The following is a 27,674-nucleotide window of genomic DNA, read 5'->3' as shown; positions in this document are numbered from 1 at the left end:
CTGGCCTCCTCGGACCGTTTCTCCGCCAAGCCACGCGAGGGCGCTGTTCTGCTCCTAGGGCGCCGTGTCCCGGCGGCGCCGCCTGCTCGCCTTTTCCCGGCGGAAATGCCCGAGCGATGACGGAAACCCGGAGGGAGGGGAGAGAAAGAGCGAGAGAAGGGGAAAGACAAGTCGGGAGAGGCCGGTAGGCGTGAGGCGGGCCTGAAGCGGCAGCGGGCGGCCTTCGTCCGGCGAGAGCTAGGCCGAGGACCCGCGCCGCGCTCCCCGGCACCTCACCGCGTCCTTCACCGACTCCCGCGGCGCGCGGCCGGGCGGGGAAGGGCGGGCGGGGGTCTCCTCCAGGCTGCGCGCTCGGAGCCGCCTGCTGGGCTTGGGCGGGGCGCGGGGCCCGCGGCCGCCCTACCCGGCTCAGTCCTCCCCCTGTGGGACCTGGCGACGGCGGCGGAGGGAGAGGGGAGCGGCGCCCGGGCCGGGGCCGGGGGCGGGTGGGGAGGGGGGAGGGCGGCGGCCGGGCTGGGGCTCGGGATCCGCATCGGGATCGGGCCGCCATGGACGACAAGGCGTTCACCAAGGAGCTGGACCAGTGGGTCGAGCAGCTGAACGAGTGTAAGCAGCTGAACGAGAACCAAGTGCGGACGCTGTGCGAGAAGGTGAGGGCGCCGCGGGGGCGAGTGCGGGAGCGCGGGGCTGGGACGGGCCGCCGCTTTCCTGCCCGCCCCGGTCCCGTCCGCCCCTGGCCCGGCGCGGCCCACCGGGGGCCTGCGGGGCTGTGGGTCCGGCTCCGGCGTCCACCTAGGCGGCCGGCCCATCGGTTCAGGGCCCGGGGCGTTGGGCTGCCCTCGCCTGCCCCTTCCACCTCCGCCTCACGCCCCCGGCCGGCTGCCCAGATCCCGGGCGTGGGGGGCTCGGGTGCGGACGGGCGGGGAAACGTAGCCCCCTGAGCCAAGCAGGAGGTTGGTCGGGGTCGCCTGCGCTCCACTGGGGAGTTCCTGCCACTCTAGCATTTCCCGAGTGGACTAGCGAGAGCGACGTCCGAAAAGGACCATTTTCAGACCAGTTTCTGAAAATGCAACTAAAATTAACCAGAATGTCGTGCGTATTAATGAACTTGTTAATAAATGCAGAATTTTTGTCAGGTGAACGGGGCACCTCAGAAATCACTAACTCAAGCCGGGCGTGGTGGCTCACGCCTGTGGCCACAGCTACTCGGGAGGCTGAAGCGGGAGGATTGCTTGAGCCCAGGAGTTAGAGACCAGCCTGGGCAACATAGTGAGGCCCCGTCTCCACACACAAAAAATTTTTTTTAATTAGCAGGGTGTGACGGCGGGTGCCTGTAATCCCAGCTATTCGGGAGGCTGAGGCGGGAGGATCGCTTGAGCCCAGGAGGTGGAGGCTGGTTGCAGTGAGTCGAGATCGCGCCACTGCACTCCAGCCTGGGCGACAGCAAAAAAAAAAAAAAAAAAATCGCTGATTCTTGAATGTGCCAAGCGTTTGTTTGCGGAGAGGTAGGCGTGATGGCCAACTGTGATTTTTAAAATAGAGGTTGACTTTGGTGGAAACAGATGGTGACTGGTCTTTGTGTTGAGTGGCTCTTGGAAGTAAAGTGTTGATTTTCAGAAACGAGAGCCGATCTTAAGTTTGGGAACAGTGTTTGCTGGAAATGATAAGTGGGATGTGTGTTTTCATGCACGATAGCACTTTGCAGAAAGTTATTTTTGTTTTTAATATATATAAAGTTTTTTTCCAAAGAATAATAAAACATGCGGGTGATCAGTTCGTTCTTGTACATCGTGAGTGTGTGATCTTCACTTTGTAAATTCTGTATCCATTGTTTTCTTAACCCCTGAAATTATTTCGATCTCTCCATCTTTGAAGTCTAGAGTTGTCCACATTCATCCTTTACAAGGTGGACTAAATAATTTTCATGTATTTTTAGGTTAAAAATTCTCACTTGAAGTGCATGAAGAAGTAACGATGTTATTTTAAAACGTAATCTATAAAATTTTCTTAACCGTAATGTTTAGAAGTCATGATGTGGCAGAAGTGCACTGGAGAAGGAAAGATTTTGTTAGTCTGATTTTAGGGTACTCTTAAGATCATGAAATTTACTTAGAAAAGGAGCACTAATAGATGGTGTTAAGTTACAATATTTTTAACGGGTGTAATGTTGGTCGGGGCCTTTGTGTATTAAGTAACTATTTGTTAACACAGGAGGATTTATTTTTGTAAATAGAAGTGCCAAGCAAGTGGTATTTTTCTCTTTCTGAAACAAACTGCTTACTTGTGGCTTCAGTTGACATTCATTTTTATTGTGATAACCTGTAATTTCATGAGTCTTAAAATTTATGCCTTAAACATCTCTCTCCAGCTCTAATGCGAAGTGAAATGTACAGGTTTGAAATGATCTGAGTCAGTTAACCTGACTATGAGCATCAGAATACAGACTTGAAGTTATGGGTAAAGTGTTAGTTGAATCAGTTTTTCCCATTGACTTCCTTTTTTTGTTTTATTTTTGTTTTGAGACAGAGGCTCAGTCTGTCGCCCAGACTGGAGCGCAGTGGTGCCGTCTCTGTTCACTGCAACCTCCACCTCCGGGGTTCGAGGGATCCTCCTGCCTCAGCCTCCCGAGTAACTGGGATTACAGGTGCATGCAGCCATGCACTGCTAATTTTTGTATTTCTAGTAGAGATGGGGTTTTGCCATGCTGGCCAGGCTGGTCTAGAACTCCTGGCCTGAAGTGATCCCTCAGCCTTCCAAAGTGCTGGGATTACAGGCGCGAGCCTCGTGCACAGCCCCTATTGACTTTCTAATAATTTTAAGATGAACTTCTAGAGAAGAATATTGTACCACTGCTGTACTTTGAAATAATCACACCGGAGTGTCAACGATCACTTGAGGAAGCTTTCTGTATTTGTCAAAAGAGATTATTTTTACTTCGGCTCCTAAATAAATCAGACTAACAGTTCCTAGGACTTCACAGGTATATTTAAGATTATCTCTTGTATCTTACTAGCCTTTTTTGGGGGCGGGGGGGGGACGCAGTCTTGGTGTGTCAGTCAGGCTGGAGTGCAGTGGGGCAATCACCGCTCACTGCAACCTCAACTTCTGGGGCATAAGGGACCCTCCCACTTCAGCCTCTCAAGTAGCTGGGACCACAGGCATGTGTCACCACACCGGGATAATTTTTTTATTTTTTTTATGGGGTCTCACCGTGTTGCCCAGGCTGGTCTCGAACTCTCGGGCTCAAGTGATCCTCCCGCCTTGGCCTCCCAAAGTGCAGGGATTGCGGGAGTGAGCCACCACTCCTAGCCCATTTTTTTTTCTTTGAATATTTGTCCTTACCCACAAAGCATGAATTTGTTAGTGAAATTCATTCATCTTTGTTCTCTACCCCCATTGATGGAGTTGCCAATGGGTTGGAAAAGTGTGATAATACTCATTTCTCTCTACTCTTTTTGAGCCGTGCTTAGTTTTGCAGCCCTCTTCTGGCAGCTATGACCTAGCTTTGTGGTTTGTGTATGTATGAGTATATATACATATATATGTTTTCTGACCTTAGTTTCTAGTTCCGTTTTATATCCCTACCCCATCCTCCTTGTTGATACATAACAAGTGTAGCATTCATCCTGTCTGAGTTCCAGTCCTGCTTCACAGCTTGCTAGCTGTCAGTCTTTCTGCACCTCTGATTCCTTATGACAGAGATAATATGTACCAATCCTCCCGGGTTGGTTGTGAGTGCTAAGATATATATTCATTGGCCGGGCACAGTGGCTCACGCCTGTAATCCCAGCATTTTGGGAGGCCGATGCAGGTAGATCACTTGAGGCCAGGAGTTCAAGACCAGCCTGGCCAACATGGCAAAACTCTGCCTCTACTAAAAAAAAAAAAAAAAATTAGCTGGGCGTAGTGTTGCACTCCCAGCTACTTGGGAGGCTGAGACACAAGAATCCCTAGGAGGCAGAGGTTACAGTGAGCAGTGATCATACCGCTGCACTCCAGCCTGGGTGACAGAATGCAGTTTTCTCAAAAAAAAAAAAAAAAAAAAAAGGCCATGTAAAGTCCTAATGAGAAGTAAGCACGCAGTGAATGTTAACTAAAGGAAGGCTGAAAGTTTTAATCATAAGTGTCACCCATTTTCTTTTGTAAGAAATGCAAAATGAATAGATGTGCCAATATGCCTTTTCTTTGGTAAATATACTTCAAAGGAGTTTTTTTTATATAGTGGCTATAGAACCCTGAAAAGTAGTGGTGCCTGTTATGTGAACCACACAGTACTGGAATTAATAGCAGTTGTGTGAAGTATCTTTACTCCTGACTTGGTCTACTTAATACTTGCCCTACCTTTCTAGGGCAAGAGTAGCAGGCATGTAGAAAGAAAATATGAGAAAAATAAAGAGTCAAACCTAATTATATAAACTATCTTTAATCCTTGTGATTCAATTTTTGGGTTTTTTAAAAATACCTTTTTTTATTCTATTGGAAATACTATTCTATAGGAAGTTACATCGTATGATGGTGGTTTTTCCTTAAATTTCTATTCTAATTCAGATTGCCTAAAAACTGAAGGAGTCGGCTGGTCATGGTGGCTCACCCCTGTAATCCTAGCACTTTGGGAGGTCGAGGTGGGCGGATTGTCTGAGCTCAGGAGTTCGAGACCAGCACGGGCAACATGGTAAAACCCTATCTCTACTAAAATACAAAAAATTAGCCGGGCATGGCGGTGTGTGCCTGTAGTCCCAGCTACTCGGGAGGCTGAGGCAGGAGAATTGCTTGAACCCAGGAGGCAGAAGTTGCAGTGAGCCGAGATCGCCACTGCATTCCAGCCTGGGCGACAGAGTGAGACTCTGTCTCCAAAAAAAGAAAGCTGAAGGAGTCCACTGAAATCAAGACCAGAGTAGTACTAGTAAAGGCCTATTTTGAGGTAGTTGCAAAAATAAAATCTATCCTAGTGCCAGTGGGTGAATGACTACAAAAAATAAAGAGTATGAATGGTATGGTGTGTCTGGCTTCCAAGGTTAATTTCTGCCTAGTGAAAAATTGTTTGCATAAAATAGCAAGGCATGTCTTCTGAGAAGACTAGCTCTTAACACTAGCTTAAATTAGCAATCCAGCTTTTGAAGCTAATTGTGAATTTGACTCCTCTTGTGTGTGCAGAGAAATTGCTTCTGTGATTCATTCCTGCATCAGCAGTATGCAGTTATTTTAGAAGATTGTGTGCCAAGAGAGCCAGGCTGGCACTGCTCAGGACACTCTGTGACTAGAACTATATTTAACTGTTGTCTCAGAAAGAGTAAAAATTTTAAGCTCTTTGACCTGTTAAATTTTATAACTGAAGAACCTTGGTGATGATTCTTTAGGTGGGGAGGGAAATTCAGCCAATGTGTGTGCTGGCAGATCTTTATTCTGATGATTATAAAGTACGTATTGAGAAAAATGTCGAGGCTTGTGTAGAAGTATAAATATGTAAATTTTATATTGAACTGATGGAAATGTTTCTAAGTCCTGGCGTTAGCCTTGAAATAAGCAGAAATAACTTTAGGATATGACTTCATTCCTAATGTGAAATAGTATGCTTGTTCCTGAATACCCAAAACCATCTTAATGAAGATTAGATTCTGGTAAAAATGAGTGATTTTTGTGAATTGAGAAAATTTTTTTAGATTACTTTCTGTGATTGATTACAGCTTAAAAAATAAAAATAGTGGTCTTGACAGGCAAAATGCCTAACTGGTACTTCCATTTTTAATTTCCCTCGAACAAAAATTAGTGCCAGCTTTGGTGGTCCATTGATAAAATCTAAAATGCAGTGATAAAATAGCTCCTTTCTTAGTATAATGAAGAATGGCATGATTACAGTGAAATAGAGGGTCAAGACCCAATTCTAGTGACTGAACAAATCATTGTTTTCCTTGCTAAGCCAGCCTCTTAGTGGACAGGTAAAGAAATTAAACCAAACTAGACTAGCATGAACTATTGCTAATGGCGGGAAAGTGGACTTTGTTACATTTCTCTACTTTATATATGACGTGTCAAATATATATGACTAGGTAAATATATTTAATACTTAATACTGCCCTTTAACAATAATATACCCTTGCCATAAGATATTTACCTAAGTAGATAAAGTGAAGATATTTGCAATGTAAAATTTCTTTTCATTGCCTGCTTTTATTGCCGTGTGTGCCTTTTATTCTTATTTGAAGATCTTGCAGAAATTTTTTCTTCACAGTCTTTTCTCTTCAGTACGAATGTTATAAAAGACTTGGTGAATGAAGCCCTTCCTTGGTAAAAGGAAATGAAAATGCCAGAAATTGAAGATGGAATTAATGCTTAATTAATTTTCCTAGATTGTTTTCTGAATGTAGTTTTTTCTAAGAAGAATGATATTAAAGTTACAGAAGTAATCTGTATAAGAAATCTGAGTCTGTGTTAAATAGAAATTTTTTATTGTTTTGAACTGATTTCCTTCAAGTAAATGTAATGAAATGTAAACCTAATCCAGATTGTTTAAAGAAACTTGTATGAAGACATCTTTTCTTCCTTAATGACCAAATGTGATCTAATAGTTCCTGTACGTTACTTTTCAACTCTAAATTTCATTAATAATCATATTAACGGCCGGGCATGGTGGTTCGCGCCTGTAATCCCAGCACTTTGGGAGGCCAAGGCAGGCGGATCATGAGGTCAGGAGATCCAGACCATCCTGGCTAACATGGTGAAACCCCGTCTCCACTAAAAATACAAAAAAAAAAAAATCAGCCAGGCGTGGTGGCAGGCGCCTGTAGGCCCAGCTACTCGGGAGGCTGAGGCAAGAGGATGGCGTGAACCCAGGAGGCAGAGCTTGCAGTGAGCCGAGATCGCGCCACTGCATTCCAGCCTGGGTGACAGAGGGAGACTCCATCTCAAAAAAAAAAAAAAAAAAATCATATTAACCCTGGGAAGGAGTTCTGTGTATTACAGATTCCGTTTCCTTTCCAGAGAATGGGAGAGCTCAAGCACTCAAGCTTAGAACTGGTTTGCTGTTGTGTCCTTTGTAATTTAGAAATATTTATCATCATTCCTTGTAAACTGTTTTTTGACTGAGATACTTTTGTGATCAAATGAATTAAAAGACAATCCTGAGGTGCAACCTGAGATTCCTGACTTGCGTTATAATAGCATCATGTTACACCAAAAATGTGGAAGACTCCATTGGAGATCTATTAAGTGAATATTTTATACAAAGACAATCGTTTTTATGTTGAGACTGGGATACAGTGGTGAATTTAAGTGTTCTCACCTATTCAATCTTAGAAAAAAGCTTATTTGAATTAACTTTTTAGCATAGTTGGATTTTTTTTAATATGCAGGATACGGTGTGTAGGCTGTAGTTTAATTTTGCTCAAAATCTCTTTTTTTTTGTTTTTTTGTGATGGAGTCTCTCTCTCTGTCATCCAGGCTGGAGTGCAGTGGTGCCATCTCGGTTCACTGCAAGCTCCGCCTACCGGGTTCATGCCATTCACCTGCCCCAGCCTCCCGAGTAGCTGGGACTACAGGTGCCTGCCACCACTCCCGGCTAATTTTTTGTGTTTTTAATAGAGATGGAGTTTCACCATGTGAGCCAGGATGGTCTCGGATCTCCTGACCTTGTGACCTGCCTGCCTCAGCCTCCCAAAGTGCTGGGATTGCAGGCGTGAGCCACTGCGCCCAGCTCAAAATCCCATCTTATAGAGAGGGAAATAATTTTCATCTTCGTTTAAAAGAGTTCCGCATGATATTTATGTCCTGGATGATGAGAGCTCAGAATTGGTTCAGTGTATTCTCGACTTGGCTTGAGTAGCAAAAGAGGCGCTTGTTCCTGTGGGCAGTGAAGAAGAAAGGAGAGGATTGGTTGACAGAATGCTGCCACTGTGTAGTTATCCCGTACATTCAACAGATTTTAGTTGAACCACTATGTACCAGACTGTTCAAAGTGCTAGAGATTCAGCTGTGAAGAGGGGACACGATTAATGAACACCAGGCATTGATTCTTGCTGGCAAGAAAAAGCAGAAGATGGGGACAGTGATGGGCTTGAATTCAAGAGACTCTTTTTTTTTTAATAGGGTGGTCATAGAAAACCTTCCAAATTCTTTATAATGTGGTTTACTTTTGTAATTAAAAAGGATTTTGCGAGAGTTAGAAGGCACAGTCCCTAACACTGTTCTCACCTCTGACACCATCTTCAAAAGTTTAGTCATGATGTACCTTCAGAACAGCAGACAAAAAATAAAGTTCAGTGAACTATAAATTACAGGGAACACTGCCCAGGACTGCCTCAGTTTTGGCACCAATATACTAGTTCAGTGGGTTCCGAAAACCACTCTTAGGTTCAGTGATTCACAGGAATGACTCACAGAACTCACTTTAAGCTGTTACACTGATGATTATGGTTTATTACAGGGAATGAATACAATTTAAAGTAAGCCAAGGGAAAAGACTCATAAGGGCAGAGTACAAGAGGGGCTGACATCTGTAGTGTCCAGTCCTCCAGAGACCAAACTGATAGTGGGATCATCCAAAGTCCGCATCGTGAGTCACATTGTTAATGGTCCGCAGGTCAGAGCCCCCAGGCAGAGATCTCTTTACCAAGCAGGAAATTCCAGGGGCAAAGGCCAGACCTCTCCTCGGGTGAGGTTAATTCTTCACTATACAGATTTTTATTCCATAGCAAATTCTGAGGGACGAGAACCTTAATAATAATAAATGGCAATACCAAAATACATGAAGAAAACAAGGCTAGATTTATCAGAATTGTGGAGTGTGTGCAATGTGAGGGATTTTTCCAGTTGAGTTGGCATATTCTTTTTTTGTTTTAAGTTTGTATTTTGTCAACTGGGCACAGTGGCTTATGCCTGTAATCTCAGCACTTTAGGAGGCCGAGGCGGGCGGATCACGAGGTCAGGGGTTTGAGACCAGTCTGGCCAACGTGGTGAAACCCCATCTCTACTAAAAATACAGAAATTAGCTGGGTGTGGTGGCACGCGCCTGTAATCCCAGCTACTTGGGAGGCTAAGGCAGGAGAATCACTTGAATCCAGGAGGCGGAGGTTGCAGTGAGCTGAGATGGAGATCGCGCCACTGCACTCCAGCCTGGACGACAGAGCAGGACTCCGTCTCAAAAAAAAAAAAAAATTGTATTTTGTCTTTTCTTGGTTGTATAAATTCTCCAAAAGTTAGCCATTTAAAAATGTTTAAGGTCTTATTTTCTACTTTGTGATATGTGTGTATAATTTTTACTGTGCAAGTTTTAGCATTTTTGTATAGTCTGATTGTCCATCTTTTCCATAAACTTTAAGCGCACATGAGAATCACTTGGGAAAGAAATAGGAAATTCATGTTCCTTGACTCCATTCCAGAGACTGATTGACATGTCTTGGGCAGGTCCAGGAAGCTGCTTTTTTTTTTTTTAAAGGCAGGATCTTACTGTCGCCTAGGCTGGAGTACAGTAACATGATCATAGTTCACTGCAGCCTTGTACTCCTGGACTCAAGCCATCTTCACGCCTCAGTCTCCTGAGTAGCTGAGACTACAGGAATACACAACCACACCTGGCTTTTTTTACTCATTTTTTTGTAGAGACAGGGTCTCCTCATGTTGTCCAAGGTGATCTTGAACTCCTGGACTCAAGTGATCCTTCTGCCTCGGCCTCCAAAAGTGCTGGGATTACAGGTGTGAGCCACTGCCCCCGGCCTCCTTTGTGCTTTCAGTGTCATGAAATACCTGTATTTGTCAAGAAGATTAAGACCATGTCTTAAAAAAAAACAAAAGCTAGTGAGATACAAGAGATAATCTTAAATATACCTATAAAGTCCTAGGAACTGTTCGTCTGATTTATTTAGGAGCCGAAGTAAAAGTGATCTTTCCTGACAAATACAGAAAGAGATTTTTGCTAGCATCACTTCTTCCAAAACAATTTTCCTCATTTATGCAATAAGTTTGGATTTTCACTTCTTTATGTCACTAAGTTTCTGCGTGTTGCTAAGTTCCTGGCTGCATATTTGGAGTCTCTCCAACAGCAGCATTGTCAGCATTCCCACAGTCGGTTCTTCCGTGTACTTTTGATTTGAATTTCATTTCCAGGGTTATGTCTTGTGTGTTTGGCTTCTCTCTTTTAGCATAATATATCCAAGATTCCTCCATATTGTAGCATGTATCTGGACTTCGTTCCTTTTTATGGCTGAATAAAATTCCATTGTGTGGATATTTTATAATTACTGCCATCTGGAATTTGTTTTGAAGTTTAAGAAGCCAGGTTTTTTCCGTTTGAAAAAGTAATACAGAATTTGTTTTTTAAAATTTCGAGCATTGGCCAGTCACGGTGGCTCAGACCTGCAATCTCAGCACTTTAGGAGGCTGAGTGGGAGGACTGCTTGAGCCCAGGAGTTTGAGGCTGCAGTGAGCTACGTTCACACCACTGCACTCCAGCCTGGGCAACAGAGCGAGACCCTGTCTCAAAGAAAATTTGTGCAAGCACCTCAGAAAGGTAGCAAGGAAAGCAAATGCACTCTACCCACCATTCCTGTCCCCTGCCCTCCTACCTCCCAGACAACCATTATGTTTCTGTATATAATCTCCTCAGCCATGTTCTTCATATGCAAAAAATATGTGGTGTGCAGAATGTTTGTGGTGTATTGGGAGCTGTTTTGTGGAATAAACTTGGCTTCTGGTAAAATTATTGTTTAATTTGTGATCTCAGGAAAAGAAACTGAAGGGTATAAAGGCCTTAAGATTACACAATTAGATTAAAACTGAAGAGAACCCATGTTTTCTGGAAGACTTCATTGCATATAATCTCATTCTAATTAATTACAAGCAAGGAGAAGAAAGTATGGGCTACATTGTCCATAACTCTTGGGAATCCTACCAGGCTATAAGCAGAAAAGGCATTTGTAGAAGAATACATGGTAGCCTAGAATCAAAAGAAAAGCTGGAGAACCAAGCATGAGCATTTTGCAGAAATTAAGGGAGGTTAGAGGTGCAGTCAGAATCATACCTTAGAAATGATTTAGAACACTAGAGAGAACACTTCTGTTGGAATAGAACTTGCCATTGTCCCTGCTCTTTAGAGTTGCTTCAAATTAAGAGTCTGGGCTGGGCGCATCTAGTTGGCATAAAGTAATCTGGGGCTAGAGTAACTTTGTGATTCCTACAGTGTGTGTACAAACTATTGTGTGTTTTGAAAATCGCTACAGGTTGAGTATCCCTCAACTAGTGTTAAAGTCTGTTGACAAAAATGCAGAGTAGCAGGAAATACAGTGAAACTCAAAATCCATGTTTTAAATACTCTTCAGATTATCAAATCACTGAAGAGGCAGAGAACTGTCTGTCCCTAAAATTGTGCTCTCTCCCCCACCAGTCTAAGCTGTCATCTGCTTTTACTTTAAGCTTCATCCTGTTTGACTTTTTTTTTTTTTTTCTGTGACTGAGTTTTGCTCTGTCGCCCAGGCTGGAGTGCAGTGGCACGATCTTGGCTCACTGCAAGCTCCGCCTCCCAGGTTCATGTCATATTCTCCTGCCTCAGCCTCCTGAGTAGCTGGGGCTACAGGCGCCCGCCACCATGCCGGGCTAATTTTTTGTATTTTTAGTAGAGATGGGGTTTCACTGTGTTAGCCAGGATGGTCTCAATCTCCTGACCTCGTGATCCACCTGCCTCAGCCTCCCAAAGTGCTGGGATTACAGGCATGAGCCACCGTGCCCGGCCCTGTTTGACTTTCACTGTGCTGTGTTGTTGCCTTTTTTTTCTTTTGTCTCACTCTCACCCGGGGTTAACTGCAAAGTGGTGCGACCATGGCTCACTGCAGCCTTGAACTCCCCAGCTCAAGCTGTCTTCCCACCCCACCCCACCCTCCTAAGTAGCTGGGACTATAGGCACACACCACCATGCCCAGCTATTTTTTAAATTTTTTATAGAGACCAGAGGTCTCACTATGTTGCCCAGCCTGGTCTCAAACTCCTGGATTCAAGCTATCCTCCCCCCTCGGCCTCCCAAAGTGCTGGAATTACAGGCATGAGCCACCGCGCCAGGCTGCCCTGTGTTTTAGCTATGCTAGCCATCCGGTTGTTTCTTCCTCTCGGTTTGCATTCTGTATTAGTCCCAGTTCTCATCTCTTAGCTTTCGTGGTTTTCTGTTTCTAATTTCTCATGGACCTGGAAACTCGGTAAATAGCTTGTTGGAATTTTGTAGATAACAGTAGGCCCAGAATAAGGCCTGAGAGTCTCTTCTGGTGGGTTAGATACATTTTTATGATGTCTGTTTTGTTACTTCAGAGGCTTTTAAATTTTTCTTCCTGATTCTGGGATCTTTTGCTATTAGGCAGAGAGGCCAGATCGATGAGCCATTAGTGAACTTCGATTTAGTCAGAACATTTCATTTGCCAGTGTTTAAGCATAAATTCTGTACTTCAGGGCCACCTAATGGTATTTTCTAACTTAATTCTATAAATATAAAATAATTGGAATAAAGAAATTCAAGGTTGGCCTATGAATTGGTGTAAGAATGTTTGTTCACACAAGAATTTGCATAATTTGTGACTTTTTTCTTTCATTGACCTTTTTAAACTTGTGAATAATAAGATTATTCTTTTTAAAACACAGACCTTCTGCCTTGAAGATTTGCCTATTCTGGACATTTCATGTAAATGGAATTGTACATTATGTGATCATTTGTGACTGACTTCTTGCACTTACCATAATGTCTTCAAAGTTGTAGCATGTATCAGTACTTCATTTCTTCATAGCTGAGTGACTATTCCATTGTATGAATATGTTATGTCCATTCATCGGTTGATCAATATCTGGTGGTTTCTACTTTTTGGCTGTTATTAATAATGCTGCCATGAACATGTATAAACTGGATTTCATTTCTCTTGAGTATATACCTAGGAGTGGAACTGCTGGATTACATGGTAATTTTAGGTTTAACTTTGGAGGAACTGCCAGACAGTTTTCCACAGCAGCTGCACCATTTTGCATTTCCACCAGCAGTGTATGAGGGTTCCAGTTTATCCACATGTTTGCAACACTTATTAACTGTCTTTTTTATTATAGCCTTTCTAATGAAAGTGTTATCTCGTGGTTTGGTTTTCACATACGCTTTTATAAGGCACTTTTCAAGTGTTTTTTTCCCCAAATTTTCTTTTAATAGATAAGAAATGATAGTTTTAACTTTGTAATTGTTGATTTCACTTTTCTAACAGGCAAAGGAAATTTTAACAAAAGAATCAAATGTGCAAGAGGTTCGTTGCCCTGTTACTGTCTGTGGAGATGTGCATGGTCAATTTCATGATCTTATGGAACTCTTTAGAATTGGTGGAAAATCACCGGATACAAACTACTTATTCATGGGTGACTATGTAGACAGAGGATATTATTCAGTGGAGACTGTGACTCTTCTTGTAGCATTAAAGGTATGATTATTGAAATTCAATTTTTTTTTCAAGATTTAAACCAGGCAAAAGGCAAGAATGACAGTATTGCATATCATCTGTTTTATGGTCTGTTCAGTTTATAGCCCCTTAAAATAATAATTGGTTTTACATCTTTTTAAAGGAGAGGTGAAAAGGATAACTTCTGTGTATTCCCGATAAATGTATCATTCTCTCGAGTAGTCCATAGCTGAAGTCTTGGAATCATATTTGACTTTATCACTTATCCGTTATATTGAGTCAGTAGACAAGTCTTTTTAAATCCTTGCTTTGAAAAGTCTGTTGTTCCTGTCTCTTTCTATTTTCACACAGTTTATCACTTCACAATTCGATTGTTACAATAGCTTAGTAACTAATATTTCTGCCTCCAAGATCTGATCCCCCCCAAATCCACCTGGCATACGCTGGCCGATGAAATCTCTTATTTAACCCTTTTATATTGTTACTTCCTGTTGATTGCCTGTTGCCTATAGAATCAAATTCAAACTCCTTGCCTGGCCTTCTATAGTCTAGTCTGAATTTTTGCCTGCCAGCGGTTGGTAGCATAAACTCTGGCTCAAATCAAAGTTTCTTCTTATTCAGTGCTCTGGACTCTGTTTATTTCCATAGTCGATTTCCCCCACGAGGTTATCCTGTCCCTGATTTCTTACCTTTCTGCCAAGACTCAGCTCAGGTCTCACTTCCTCCATGTAACCTTCAACCATTTTAGCCTTATTCCTTCTGCTCTAAATTACTATGAGGAAACTTATTCTCCCAGCCCTTATTTATGCTGCAAAAGTGGCTTATTGCCTTCTATTACTTATTATTTTACATATGTCCTTAGTGAGGTTAGTCCCTCAACAGCAGAAGCCATATATTACATGGTCATGGGTCACTTAACTGCAGGCATACATTCTGAGAAATGTGCCATTAGGTGATTTTGTCATCTTTGGAACTTACACAAACCTAGGTGGTATAGCCTACTGCACACAAAGGCTGTAATGGTATAGTCTCTTGCTCCAGCCAACATCGTACATGTAATCTGTTAACAAAAATGCTGCCCAGCACATGACTGTACTTGTGTAGATCTGGCATCTGGCTTTATAGCACCAAACTTACGTTAGACACATAACGGATGCTTAGTAAAATATGTATGAATTGAAGTACATACTTGCAGCTTTTAGCTTAATTTGCAGAATCCAGTGCTTTTTCGTATTTCTTATCAGATGCATTCCTAACTAAATAGTCGCTTATGTTTTTTAATAGAAAGGAAACTATTAATACATTTGAAATCTTGCCCAGTTTTGTCAAGGGCCTGTTTTTGTGTTATTATTGGCAAATCCAATCTTCCTGTGGGAAATAAAAATTGAAAAGGGAAGAAGTTAATCTGTAGAGTTTGTCTCAGCTTCAAACCTGTGATTTTCACTACTCATTCAGCAGTAAGAAGTCATAGTGTTCTAGAAAGATTTAGGAAAGTAGTAATAATTTGATGATGAAGATAATAGAAGCAAAGTATCAGATACAAGTTTATTATAGTAATATAAGTATTAGTTAAAGGTTCTGATGAGGGTTGTCGAAACCTGATGAAAAAGGATGATTATAATAAACACGTCAAATGTTAACCAGTAAGACCTGGTTATGAATAAGCAAGTTTTTTATTTTGAAACTGAAATTAACATTTAATATACTGGTGGCCAAAAGCGCCGTGTTTAAAAATGGGTCAGAGACTGGTGTACTTCACATGACACTAGTAAAAATGTGATTTTACTATGGGTTTTACTCCTTTTCTTCCAGGTGCGTTATCCAGAACGCATTACAATATTGAGAGGAAATCACGAAAGCCGACAAATTACCCAAGTATATGGCTTTTATGATGAATGTCTGCGAAAGTATGGGAATGCCAACGTTTGGAAATATTTTACAGATCTCTTTGATTATCTTCCACTTACAGCTTTAGTAGATGGACAGGTATGTATATGTGTGCTTACATCTTGGGAGGAGGTAAATGGAAGCAGAGATTGACTATTGGTAAGCTGGGGTCTAGATTCATATGACCTGTGTTTCTGCATCTCCTCGGCCTTTTCCTCCTCCTTCCCTTATACTTAAAATTTCAAAGCAGGGAAGTGGATAAGTTTCACATACATTTGGACCAGCAAATTTTCCTGTTGTTCTCAGATATGTATGTAAATCTTTTAACCAAAGAATATGCTGTGCTTTTTAAGATATCGATAAACATTATAAATAAATGTTTAAGACACTGATGTATAGTACTAGCAAAGCAAGATGTTATTTAAAACTATCTCTGCATATACATGCAGTGTCTGCTGGTTACCATGAATAACTTTTCATTTCTATTTTCATGGTAACTGCAAATGTTATATTGTGTATTACACCTTCCCTGAGAAGTGAATGCTTGGCTGGGCACAGTGGCTAGTACTTTGGGAGGCCAAGGCAAGAGGACCGCTTGAGTTCAGGGGTTCAAGACCAGCCTGGGCAATGTAGTAAGACCCTGTCTCTACAAAAAAAAAAATTTAAAAATTAGCTAGGCATAGTGGCGCGTGCTTGTGGTCTAGCTACTCAGGAAGCTAGAGGTGAGAGGATCTCTTCAGCCCAGGAAGTTAAGGCTGCAGTGAGCCGTGATCCAGCCTGGGCTTCAGCCTGGGCAACAGCAAAACCCCATCTCAAAGAACAAAAAAAGAAAATAGAAGCAAATGCTATTTCTGCATTTGCTGTAACAAGTAGTGCAGACATGTCATGAAACATTCAAAAGTATAAGAAGAAATTATGCAAATTTCCTATTTCAATTTCTAGAGATAATCACTGTAAGCATGAACTGATTTAAATTTAAATATAAAACAAAAGCCGGGCAAGTTGGCTCCTACCTGTAATCCCAGCACTTTAGGAGGCCAAGGTGGGTGGATCACCTGAGGTAGGGAGTTCGAGACCAGCCTGGCCAACATGGTGAAACCCCATCTCTACTAAAAATACAAAAATTAGCCGGGGATGGCATTGCATGCCTGTAGTCCCAGTCCCAGCTACTTGAGAGGCTGAGGCAGGAGAATCACTTGAACCTGAGAGAGACAGAGGTTGCAGTGAGCCAAGATCGTATCACGGCACTCCAGCTTGGGTGACAAAGTGAGACTCCATCTCAAAAAATAAAATAAATAAATATAAAACATATAATAAAACTCCATAATTCTTAAATTATGAAAGCCCAGAGTTGTCAAGAATGTAATAAATTCTCTCTTAGACTGCTCGTGGGAATATAATTTGGTTATAACTTTCCCTGTGTAATCCTGACAGTCTTTTTTCTCAGCCATGATTTTGGACACTGCCGTGATTAATTTGAAAGGACGATACTTTGCCTGGACTTGTTAAAAGAAAATGTGAATTTAAAAGATGTTAAATTTTAATTAAGGTTGTTTTTAATTGTTTTGAAGCAACATAGTCTTCATTAATAATAAAATTGCTGGACAGAATGATTTTTAAAAGACAGCCTATCAGTTTTAATGAAGTATCTAGTTTTTAAAATGGGTGCGTTAGTAGAGCTTTTATATATTTTTCCCTTCCTCCTTCCTTCCTTTCTTTCTGAAAAGTTACTAGAAAAGAAATAATAGTGAACAAAACTGATCTAGAAGAAAAGATGGAAGGCACATAAAACACTAGGAATGAAATAAGGCATAATTATAACTATGCAGGAGCTCGTGTATCACAAGAACAGGTGCAGCTTTAGTGCACTAAGTTTGAAAAGCTGAATGAAGCTTACTATAGTAAAATACCAGTTATTAAAATTGGCTTGCAGAAATTCGTCCAATATAAGTAAACAACCAATAGCAACCAGGTGTAAATAGTTTTATAGGCTAATTCTACCAAACCTTTAAGGAACATATAATTTCTGTGTTCTAGAACTTGGGAAAAGATGGAGAGTTCAAAACTCACACCGTATGCCTAGTATAACCTCAATGCCAAACCAGACGTGGCACGCACAGAAAAATAAAATCAGACCAAAGTCATTTGGAAAAAAAATTCCTATATTTATGATTCAAAACTCAGTTATTTTATAAAATAATAATATTAAGTGGATAAAGAAACGCCAGTTGTACTATCAGCTAAACATTAGAAACCTTCTCATCAGGCCAGGTGAGGTGGCTCATGCCTGTAATCCCAGCACTTTGGGAGGCCAAGGCGGGCGGATCACCTGAGGTTGGGAGTTCAAGACCAGCCTGGCCAACATGGAGAAACCCTGTCTCTACTAAAAATACAAAATTAGCCAGGCATGGTGGCACATGTCTGTAAACCCAGCTACTCAGGAGGCTCAGGCAGGAGAATTGCTTGAACCCGGAAGGCGGAGGTTGCGGTGAGCCGAGATCACGCCATTGCACTGGGCAACAAGAGCGAAACTCCGTCTCAAAAAAAAAAAAAAAAAAAATCAAAATCAGAAAGAAAATGCTTGTTAAAACTTACGTTATTCTCTCTGATTCAGAATACCTAGAGCATGGACTTGAAACTAGGTAGTTTACAAAAAACAAAACAGAAAACATTTGTATTATTCCATTTTATTTTAGAAGTCCTGGCCAATGCACTAAGCAATAAAAAGAATTAAAACGTATAAACATTGAGAAGAAAAAACAAAAATAGTTTTGCAAATGACTTGATTATGTACTTAGAAAATATGAAGGAACTGAAAATTTATTGTAGCCAGTAACAGGAATCAGAGTGTTTGCTGTAAGAGAAACAAAAAATTGTATATATCAGCAATAACCAACAGAAGCTGTAATGACAGCTGGGTACAGTGGCATGCACCTGTAATCCTAGCTTCCCAGGAGGCTGAGGCAGGAGGATTGCTTGGGCCCAGGAGTTCATGGCTGCATTGCGCAGTGATCAAGGCTGTGAATAGCTACTGCTCTCCATCCTCAGCAGCACAGCAAGACTCCATCTCTACAGAAAGAAAAGAAAGGAGGGAAGTGGGGAGGGAGAAAAAAAAGAAAGAAAGAAATTTAATGGTAGGTACCAAGGATGGGGATACCATTGACCAGAGAAAAGGAAGGGAGGGAGGGAGGGGAAAAAAAAAAAAAGAAATTTAATGGTGGGTCCCCAAGGATGGGGATACCATTGACCAGAGAAGGGGTAAAGAAGAAAAAATGATGGACAAAATATGTTTAAATGTTGGCACTATTTGGACTGACACTTTTAACCATTATTTACTCTTTGTTAACTGTTTGGAGTTAGTAAAACAAATACATTCTCTTTTGTTAATTCATACATAGATATTCTGCCTCCATGGTGGCCTCTCTCCATCCATAGACACACTGGATCATATAAGAGCCCTGGATCGTTTACAGGAAGTTCCACATGAGGTAAACTTAATTTAAAAAAGAAGAAGAAAGGAAAAGAAAATATAACCACATTTTGAGGATGATAAAGTATGACTGATAATAATTTGTAACATGTACTTATTTTTCTTGGCCAGGGCCCAATGTGTGATCTGTTATGGTCAGATCCAGATGATCGTGGTGGATGGGGTATTTCACCACGTGGTGCTGGCTACACATTTGGACAAGACATTTCTGAAACCTTTAACCATGCCAATGGTCTCACACTGGTTTCTCGTGCCCACCAGCTTGTAATGGAGGTATGTACTTTCCTGACAGAATGATCTTTATTTCAGATTAGTATATACTTCTGTAATAAGGCATTATGACTTAACTAAGAAACATTCCTCACCATTTATTACCTAGGTGAAAAGAGGAAAAACTTGCTGGTTTTAGCAAGTAGGGAAAGCACTAGTAGACCAGAGCAGAATTATAACTCATTTTTGAAATTGAGACTTAGAAAAAAGTTACAAAAATAGTACCCCATAATTCCCTGTATGCTTCATTCAGATTCCTGACTGTAAATATTTTACTATATTTGCTTTATCATTTTGTGTCTCTCTTCCTCTTCACCCCTCACACTTTCTTCTGAACCATTTGAATATCTGTTGCAGACAGATACTCCTTTACTACCAACTTTCTATGTGTATTTTGTAAAATTAAGGACACACTGTCACATAACCACCGTATAGTTATCACAGTTGGGAAATTTGTGTTCATATAGTACTGTTATTTAATATGAACACTTTATTCAAATTTTGCTAATTGTCTCACTAATGTCTTTAATAGCAAAATTTAATTTTTTGTGCATACTGTATGTGCATAGTCGAATCCAAAGATTAGGTTGTATTCATTCTACTTTGATGTGGAAATCCTCCGATTTTCATTGTTTTCCACATTCTTGACATTTTGGAAGAGTAGGAGCATTTTATCTTACAGAAATATCCCTCAGTTGGGGTTTGCCTGATGTTTTCCTTGCAGTTAGGGATTCAATGTATGCATTTTTGGCAGTCATGACATAGAAAGATGGTGTGTCCTCCTCCGTGCATTGTATCAAGTGGTCCTAAAATCTGCTTGTCTCAATGCTGGTGGTGGCAACTTTAATTGCTTAGTTAAGATGATGTCTGCCAGATTTCTCCACTATAATATTAACTGTTATACAACTACTAAGGGAACATAAACAACATAATCCCTGCAGACCAGTAGGGAGTGGCTTCAAGATGTTTAGAGAAAACTTCGCCAGCCCAGTAGAAACAAGGGAGCATGATAAAAAAAACACAAATTTACATAGTAAAAATAAATTTAATTATATCAGTGATTATAAGAAAGAGACTAAAATTTTAGCCTGAAAGAGACTCTTAGATTGGATAAATAATCAAAATTTAGCTGTTATTTGGGATGTACCTAAAACATAAATGATTGGCTGGACAAAGTGGCTCATGCCTATAATCCCAGCACTTTGGGAGGCCGAGGTGGGAGGATCTCTTGAGTCTTGGAGTTTCAGACCAGCCTGGGCAACATAGTGAGACCTCATCTCTATATAAAAAAAAAAAAAAAGTCAAAAAGTTAGCTGGGCATGGTGGCATATGTCTATTGTCCCAGCTACTCAGGAGGCTGAGGTGAGAGGGTCACTTGAGGCCAGGAGGTTGAGGCTGCAGTGAGCTATGATCGTACCGCTGCACTCCAGCCTGGGCAAAAGGGTGAGACCTTGTCTCAAAAAAACGAGGAAAAAGAAAAAGACACCACAAACTAGAGGTAAGAGTTGGAAAATGGTATATTGGTATATCAAGTAATTAATCAAAATATCAAAAATATAGCTAATGAGCTGGCGTGGTGGCTCGTGCCTCTATTCCCAGCACTTTGGGAGGCTGAGGCAAGCGGATTGCTGGAGCTCAGGAGTTCGAGACCAGCCTGGGCAACATGGTGAGATCCTGTCTCTACTAAAATACAAAAAATTAACCTGGTGTGGTGGCACGCACCTGTAGTCCCAACTACTCGGGGCTGAGGCAGGAGAATTGCTTGAACCCAGGAGTTGGAGGTTGCAGTGAGTCTAGATCGCACCACTGCACTCCAGCCTGGGCAACACAGGATGTGTGTGTGTGTGTATATACACACATACATACACTAATGTATGTATATATATGTATACATATATACACACATGTATGTGTGTATACATATATGCACACGTATATATACACATATACACACGTATACATATATGCGCACACATACATGTATACATACATATATACGTGTATGTATATACACATGTATATACACATGTATACATATATGCACACACATATATACATATATACACGTATATATACATATGTATATACACATACATTAATTAGCATGTATGTATACACACTATATATAATACTATAGCTAATAATATGAATGAGATAGGCTCTAATAAAAGGTATTATTAGAAATAAAGAGATTATTGATGAAAACTGGCCCAGTTCTCTAGGAAGAAAGTATTCTAAATTTGTATTTACCTAGTAATAGCTTCAAAATATATAAAGAAAAAATTGGCATAATTCATGAGGGAAAATTGAGAAATTAATTATGATTGTGGGAGAAATTCAGTACACATCCTTGCCAAGATTTCAAGCATAGATACGGCAAAACAACAATTAGCGAGCTGCATTTAACAGACTCCTAGGCCCACGAATTGCACAGTATTCTTTACAGGTACACAAACTATTAAAGATGGAGACCTTATATAGTAATATAGACGACTACATTTCCACAGAGAGTACCTGTAGTTTTTGAGTTTAGTTTTTTTTAAATGTGTCTGTGTCAAAATCATAATATTATAATGAAATAATGAATTTGTTTTTATCCTGCAGGGATACAATTGGTGTCATGATCGGAATGTGGTTACCATTTTCAGTGCACCCAATTACTGTTATCGTTGTGGGAACCAGGCTGCTATCATGGAATTAGATGACACTTTAAAATATTCCTTGTGAGTAACTGTAAATTTTAATTGTATATACTTTCAGAAGGAAAATTTTAAATGTTAAAAATAGAAGATTTCTGTTTCTGAAATTGGATGAGGAGTATAGCAAAGCCCCTCTCCAGCAAAAATAACCATTAGCTGGAGAACATTATTTTTAAAAAATAATTTTTCAAAGCTTTTGGAAATTGTCCTAAGGGCATACAGCAGGTGGAGAAACAGTTAATTCAAGAAAACCTACTAAATCTCAGTAATAATAGCCGTAGTCTGTGGCATTTGAGCTATGACTTGCCCCCTCCAACTCCTCCCAGATCCCTCTCACAGAAACGACTACAGGCGCTCTACGCTGGGTTGGTATAGTCAGGAGGCTAAGGGATTCCCCCTCTTCATCAGCTCCCAGGGCTGGGGCTGTGGGTTCACTCCCAGAGATCAGATGCCAGCATATCTCACCTCTCCTAGTCTGGAGTTACAAAAGCTCTACTCCTGGTAGACACAGTCAAGCAGGCTGAGGCCCCCTTCCCTGCCCCAGCTCCTGGGGCAGAAGCTCTGCTCCAGGCATGCATGGCAGATGAGAATGCTGGGTTTCCCAATGCTGTTACCCCAGCACCTGCTTATAAACCAGGTGGTATCACTGAGCCTGCACTGGCACAGAAGTTCTGCTCAGGAGGAAAGGCAGGTCACAGAAGTTCCTCAGCTCTGCCTCAGAGGACTTATCTTACTTAGGTGATGGAGAATTCCAAATCTGAGTGCTTTGTGGAAAGCAGTAGATGTCATGGTGGAGACCAATTAAGAGGGCTGTAATAGCTCCCATGATACTAGGAGCAACATACAAAAGAGCAGAGCAACATGTTGTTCAACAAATAGCACCAGGGAAAAAGCCAAGAAGAGCCCTTCTGGGATCACAGTCAGCCCTGGGGGACAAGAAGGCTGTGCACATGCACTAGCCATACCCACTCAGGAGCAGTCAAGAGTAGGATGTGGGGTATTCATATAATATTTTCAAGCCACACATAGATTGTACTGAGTTGAATAATGTCCCCCCAAAAAAATTCATGTCCACCCAGAACCTCAAAATGTGATGTTATTTGGAAATAGGATCTTTACAGATATAATTATTAAAGATGAGATTGTACTGGATTAGGGTGGGCCTAAATCCAATTCGAATGGGATTTTAGTAAGAGGAAAAGAAACACACACAGGGGAGAATGCTGTGTGAAGCCAGAGATTCAAGTGATGCATCTACCAGCTAAGGATTGCCAGAGCCATCAGAAGCTAGGGAGAGGCTAGGAAGGATTTTTCCTAGAGCCTTCAGAGAGAGCGTGGTCCTCCCAGCATCTTGCTTTCAGACTTGTAGCCTCCAGAACTGTGAGAGGATAAATCCCCGTTGTATAAGCTATACAGTTCGGTAATTTGTTACGGCAGCCCCAGGAAATGGATAAGTAGATTGATCAACAAATGGTGTAACCATCACTAGTATGTGAGGCTTAAACACAACCTCTCATCATTGACTGAACGACATTCAGTTACTCTGATCCAGGAGCACCTCCTAGGTAGTCAGGCTTTAAAATAAAATCACACTCATCCCTGACAGTCTGGCAGAATATGTGCATGCCCAAGGTTATACCCTCTCTGGACTGAGTGCAGTATGAAGATCCAACTATTAGTCCCTGGCTGAATGGGAAGCCAAAATATAAACTCCTTCAGCTTTGATAGCAATCTGCAAGTCACATAACATTTCCGGTGGCCATTAGGGTGAGCTTTAAGATCTAACTGGCCAAGGGGGCTTAAGTACAATCTTTGATCAGTAAGTGGCTTATGCCTACCCAGAGACAGCCCCTCAGTAGCCAGGCTGTGAAAGATTAAAAGAAGTAAAAACGGTCAGGCACGGTGGCTCATGCCTGTAATCCCAGCACTTTGGGAAGCCGAGGTGGGCGGATCACCTGAGGTCGGGAGTTCAAGACCAGCCTGACCAACATGGAGAAACCCAGTCTCTATTAAAAATACAAAATTAGTTGGGTGTGGTGGCGCATGCCTGTAATCCCAGCTACTCAGGAGGCTGAGGCAGGAGAATCGCTTGAACCTGGGAGGCGGCGGCGATCACGCCATTGCAGTCCAGCCTGGGCAACAAAAGTGAAACTCAAAAAAAAAAAAAAAAAGTAAAAACATCCGAGCAGGGCCACAGGGGCTGCACACTATGGGGGAAGTAGACTTTACAGTTAGTTCAGCTAAGTCACTAAACAAAAATAATAAACCACCAAAAAGACAAGATCAGTCCCCAAGGACATGAATTCCAGAGCTACTGCAATATGTTATCTATAATGTCCAATTTTTCAACCACAGATTATAAGACATGGAAAGAACAAGGAAGTGTGACCTCTACACAGGAAAAAACTAAGCAACAGAAACTGTTTCTCTTGGATAGAACAACTAGGCAGGAGATGAAGGCAGGAGAAGACTTGAGCAACACTGTAAACTGACTGTATACCTCATGTCTGTAAAACAACACCCAACAACAGCAGAATACTTTCCTCTCAAGTAAACATGAAACATAGTCATATGCTAGACTGTAAAACATGCCTCAGGCAATTTAAGAAGATTAGATTCTTAAAAGGATATTCTCCAAACACAAGGAAATGAAATTAGAAATCATTAACATGGCTGGATGCTGTGGCTCACACAAGTAATCCCAACACTTTGGGAAGCCAAAGTAGGAGGATCACTTGAGGCCAGCCTGGGCAACATAGGGAGACCCCGTCTCTACAAAAAAATTTAAAAATTAGCCAGGTATGGTGCCAAGCACCTGTAGTCTCAGCTGTATGGGAGGCTGAGATGGAGGATCACTTGAGCCCAGTTGATCAAGGCTGCAATGAGCTATGATCACAGCACTACACTACAGCCTAGGCAACAGAGCAAAGACCCTGTCTCAGAAAGAAAAAAACAAAAAAAAAAACAAGAAGATTTGAAATCAGTAACCTATCTTTATACTTGAGGACCTAGAAAAAGCAGAGTAAACTAAACCTGATGTAAGCTTATGAAACGAGGTTTAGAGTAGAAATAAACAAACAGTAGAAAATCATTACAGAAAAATCAACAAAACCCAAAGTTGATGCTTTGAAAAGCCTTAACTAGACTGGCCAAGAAAAAAAGGAGTAAAGACTCACATTACCAAATCACTAGAGACCTTACTGAAATAAAAAGGATTATAAGGGAATACAATAAATAACTATATGCCAGCAAATTCAGTAACTTTGATAAAACGTACTAATTCCTAAAAAGAAACTACTGAAACTGACTCAAGAAATATGAAATCTGAATGACCTTTCAAATGTGAAAATATTGAGCCAGCATGGTGGCTCACACCTATAAATCCCAGCTTTGGGAGGCCAAGCTGAGAGGATTGCTTGAGACTAGGAGTTTGAGACCAGCCTGGACAACATAGCAGGACCTTGTCCCTATTTAATTTAAAAGAATATAAATAAATGAGTGAAAAAGTTAAAACTCCCCACAAATAAAAGGCCAAGCCCAATTGGCTTCATTGATGAAGTCCACCAAATGTTTAAAGAAAGGAATTGGCCAGGTGCGGTGGCTCTAACCAGTAATCCTAGCACTTTGGGAAGCCAAGGCAGGCAGATTGAGCCCAGGATTCAAGATCAGCCTGGGTAACATGGTAAAACCCTGTATCTACAAAGAATACAAAAATTAACCTGGTGTGGTGGCTCAGCCTATAGTCTCAGCTACTCAGGAAGCTGAAGTGGGAGGATCACCTGAGCCCAGGGAGGTTGAGGCTACAGTGAGCCATGATCACACCACTGCACTCCAGCTTGGGCAACAGAGTGAGACCCTGTCTCAAAAATAAAAACGAGTTAATGCCAATCCTTCACAAACACTTCCAAAAAACAGAAGAGGAGGACTACTGCATTCATTCTGTCACACCTGCACTATTATCCTTGATACCAAAAGTAGACAAAGGCAAAAACAGACCAGCATTTGTTACGAATACAGATATAAAATTTTCCAACATACGTACCAGCAACCTGGATCTAGCAATATGTAAAAAGATTATACACCATGAGCAAGTGGGATTTATCCCAGGAATGCTAGGTTGGTTCAAAACATGAAAATCAATATAATAAACCATATTAATATTAAGGGATTAAAAAACACATGATCATCTCAATAGAGGCACAAAAATAATTGGAAAAATCCACTAGCCAGAAACACTCAAGAAAATAGTGATATTAGGCCTGGCGCGGTGGCTCACGCCTGTAATCCCAGCACTTTGGGAGGCCGAAGCGGGTGGATCATGAGGTCAGGAGATGAGACCATCCTGGCTAACACGGTGAAACCCCGTCTCTACTAAAAAAAAATAAGAAAATTAGCCGGGCATGGTAATGGGTTCCTGTAGTCCCAGCTACTCAGGAGGCTGAGGCAGGAGAATGGTATGAACCCAGGAGGCGGAGCTTGCAATAAGCCGAGATCGTGCCAGTGCACTCCAGCCTGGGCGACAGAGCAAGACTCTGCCTCAAAAAAAAAAAAAAAAAAAGTGATATTATTATTATTATTAAATAATATTAAACAATTATTGTTTAATTATTTAAACTTGATATTATTTAATCTTTAATTATTTAAGCTTTTAAATAATAATAACATTTAGAAATTGTTATGCCAGGCACCAAACCAGACATTCTGTCTTCTTAAATTTTCACCATAGCCCTATGAAGCAGTTAGTTGGAATGGGAGCATCTGCAGTGATTTGCCCATGGCCATTCCAGCCGTAAGTGATGTAGTCATGGTGGGAAAGCAGGACTGCTGTTTCTACTACAGTGTCTTGTTCTTTATTCATTTGTTTTCTTTGCAAAGTCAGATCCTTTATTTGCTTCCTTTTTTGCCATTTACAGCCTTCAATTTGACCCAGCGCCTCGTCGTGGTGAGCCTCATGTTACACGGCGCACCCCAGACTACTTCCTATAAATTTCTCCTGGGAAACCTGCCTTTGTATGTGGAAGTATACCTGGCTTTTTAAAATATATGTATTTAAAAACAAAAAGCAACAGTAATCTATGTGTTTCTGTAACAAATTGGGATCTGTCTTGGCATTAAACCACATCATGGACCAAATGTGCCATACTAATGATGAGCATTTAGCACAATTTGAGACTGAAATTTAGTACACTATGTTCTAGGTCAGTCTAACAGTTTGCCTGCTGTATTTATAGTAACCATTTTCCTTTGGACTGTTCAAGCAAAAAAGGTAACTAACTGCTTCATCTCCTTTTGCGCTTATTTGGAAATTTTAGTTATAGTGTTTAACTGGCATGGATTAATAGAGTTGGAGTTTTATTTTTAAGAAAAATTCACAAGCTAACTTCCACTAATCCATTATCCTTTATTTTATTGAAATGTATAATTAACTTAACTGAAGAAAAGGTTCTTCTTGGGAGTATGTTGTCATAACATTTAAAGAGATTTCCCTTCATTTAAACTAAATTACTGTTTTATGTTGATCTGCATATTTCTGTATATTTGTCATGACAGTGCTTGCATCCTATTTGGTGTACTCAGCAAATAAACTTTTCATTTTAAACAAAAACATTCATTTATTGTGTTGTGCATTAAATGAAAACTTTATTTTTTCTAGACCAGGTCTTGCTCTGTCATCTGGGCTGGAGTGCAGTGGCACAGTCATAGCTCACTTCAACCTTGAACTCCTGAGCCCAAGCCATTCTCCTCCCTCAGCCTCCTGAGTAGCTGGGACTACACTCAACATACCACCACACCCAGCTAATTTGTAAAATATTTTGTAGAGACGGGATCTTGTTATGTTGCCCAGGCTGGTCTTGAACTCCTGGCCTCAAGTGGCCCTGCCAAATTCTTGAGATTATAGATGTGTGCCATCACACCTGGCCTGCT

At 41.2% G+C, this 27,674-nt stretch overlaps 1 protein-coding gene across 1 annotated transcript, besides 4 other annotated features; it reads left to right on the top strand.

Annotated features, from left to right (window-relative positions):
* The first annotated feature begins 151 nt into the window (after positions 1-151).
* On the top strand, positions 152-27,354 carry PPP2CB (protein phosphatase 2 catalytic subunit beta). Its single transcript, NM_001009552.2, has 7 exons — positions 152-650; positions 13,215-13,424; positions 15,216-15,389; positions 18,689-18,778; positions 18,892-19,053; positions 21,655-21,773; positions 26,663-27,354. Exons 1-7 carry the CDS (start codon positions 549-551, stop codon positions 26,733-26,735), a joined length of 930 nt encoding a protein of 309 aa, NP_001009552.1. The 5' UTR covers positions 152-548; the 3' UTR covers positions 26,736-27,354.
* Positions 279-498: a silencer, noted in NCBI's record as "silent region_19088". NCBI's record gives its function as "represses an Ori minimal core promoter by ATAC-STARR-seq in GM12878 lymphoblastoid cells {active_cell/tissue: GM12878}" and the evidence as "EXISTENCE:reporter gene assay evidence [ECO:0000049][PMID:35858748]".
* Positions 529-588: a silencer, noted in NCBI's record as "silent region_19087". NCBI's record gives its function as "represses an Ori minimal core promoter by ATAC-STARR-seq in GM12878 lymphoblastoid cells {active_cell/tissue: GM12878}" and the evidence as "EXISTENCE:reporter gene assay evidence [ECO:0000049][PMID:35858748]".
* Positions 669-778: a silencer, noted in NCBI's record as "silent region_19086". NCBI's record gives its function as "represses an Ori minimal core promoter by ATAC-STARR-seq in GM12878 lymphoblastoid cells {active_cell/tissue: GM12878}" and the evidence as "EXISTENCE:reporter gene assay evidence [ECO:0000049][PMID:35858748]".
* Positions 839-898: a silencer, noted in NCBI's record as "silent region_19085". NCBI's record gives its function as "represses an Ori minimal core promoter by ATAC-STARR-seq in GM12878 lymphoblastoid cells {active_cell/tissue: GM12878}" and the evidence as "EXISTENCE:reporter gene assay evidence [ECO:0000049][PMID:35858748]".
* Positions 27,355-27,674: the final 320 nt, after the last annotated feature.

The sequence above is a fragment of the Homo sapiens genome, chromosome 8 (genome assembly GCF_000001405.40).
Source record: "Homo sapiens chromosome 8, GRCh38.p14 Primary Assembly".
Classification (NCBI taxonomy): Eukaryota; Metazoa; Chordata; class Mammalia; order Primates; family Hominidae; genus Homo; species Homo sapiens.
This window is presented reverse-complemented; position numbering and strand designations above follow the sequence as displayed.

What these genes read in the sequence shown, in the direction of transcription:
- PPP2CB (NM_001009552.2), top strand. Translation starts at nt 549, where the DNA reads ATGGACGACAAGGCGTTCACCAAGGAGCTGGACCAGTGGGTCGAGCAG. An exon ending in TGCGGACGCTGTGCGAGAAG is followed by an intron (nt 651 to 13,214) that starts GTGAGGGCGCCG and finishes CTTTTCTAACAG; the next exon opens with GCAAAGGAAATTTTAACAAA. An exon ending in CAGCTTTAGTAGATGGACAG is followed by an intron (nt 15,390 to 18,688) that starts GTATGTATATGT and finishes ATTCATACATAG; the next exon opens with ATATTCTGCCTCCATGGTGG.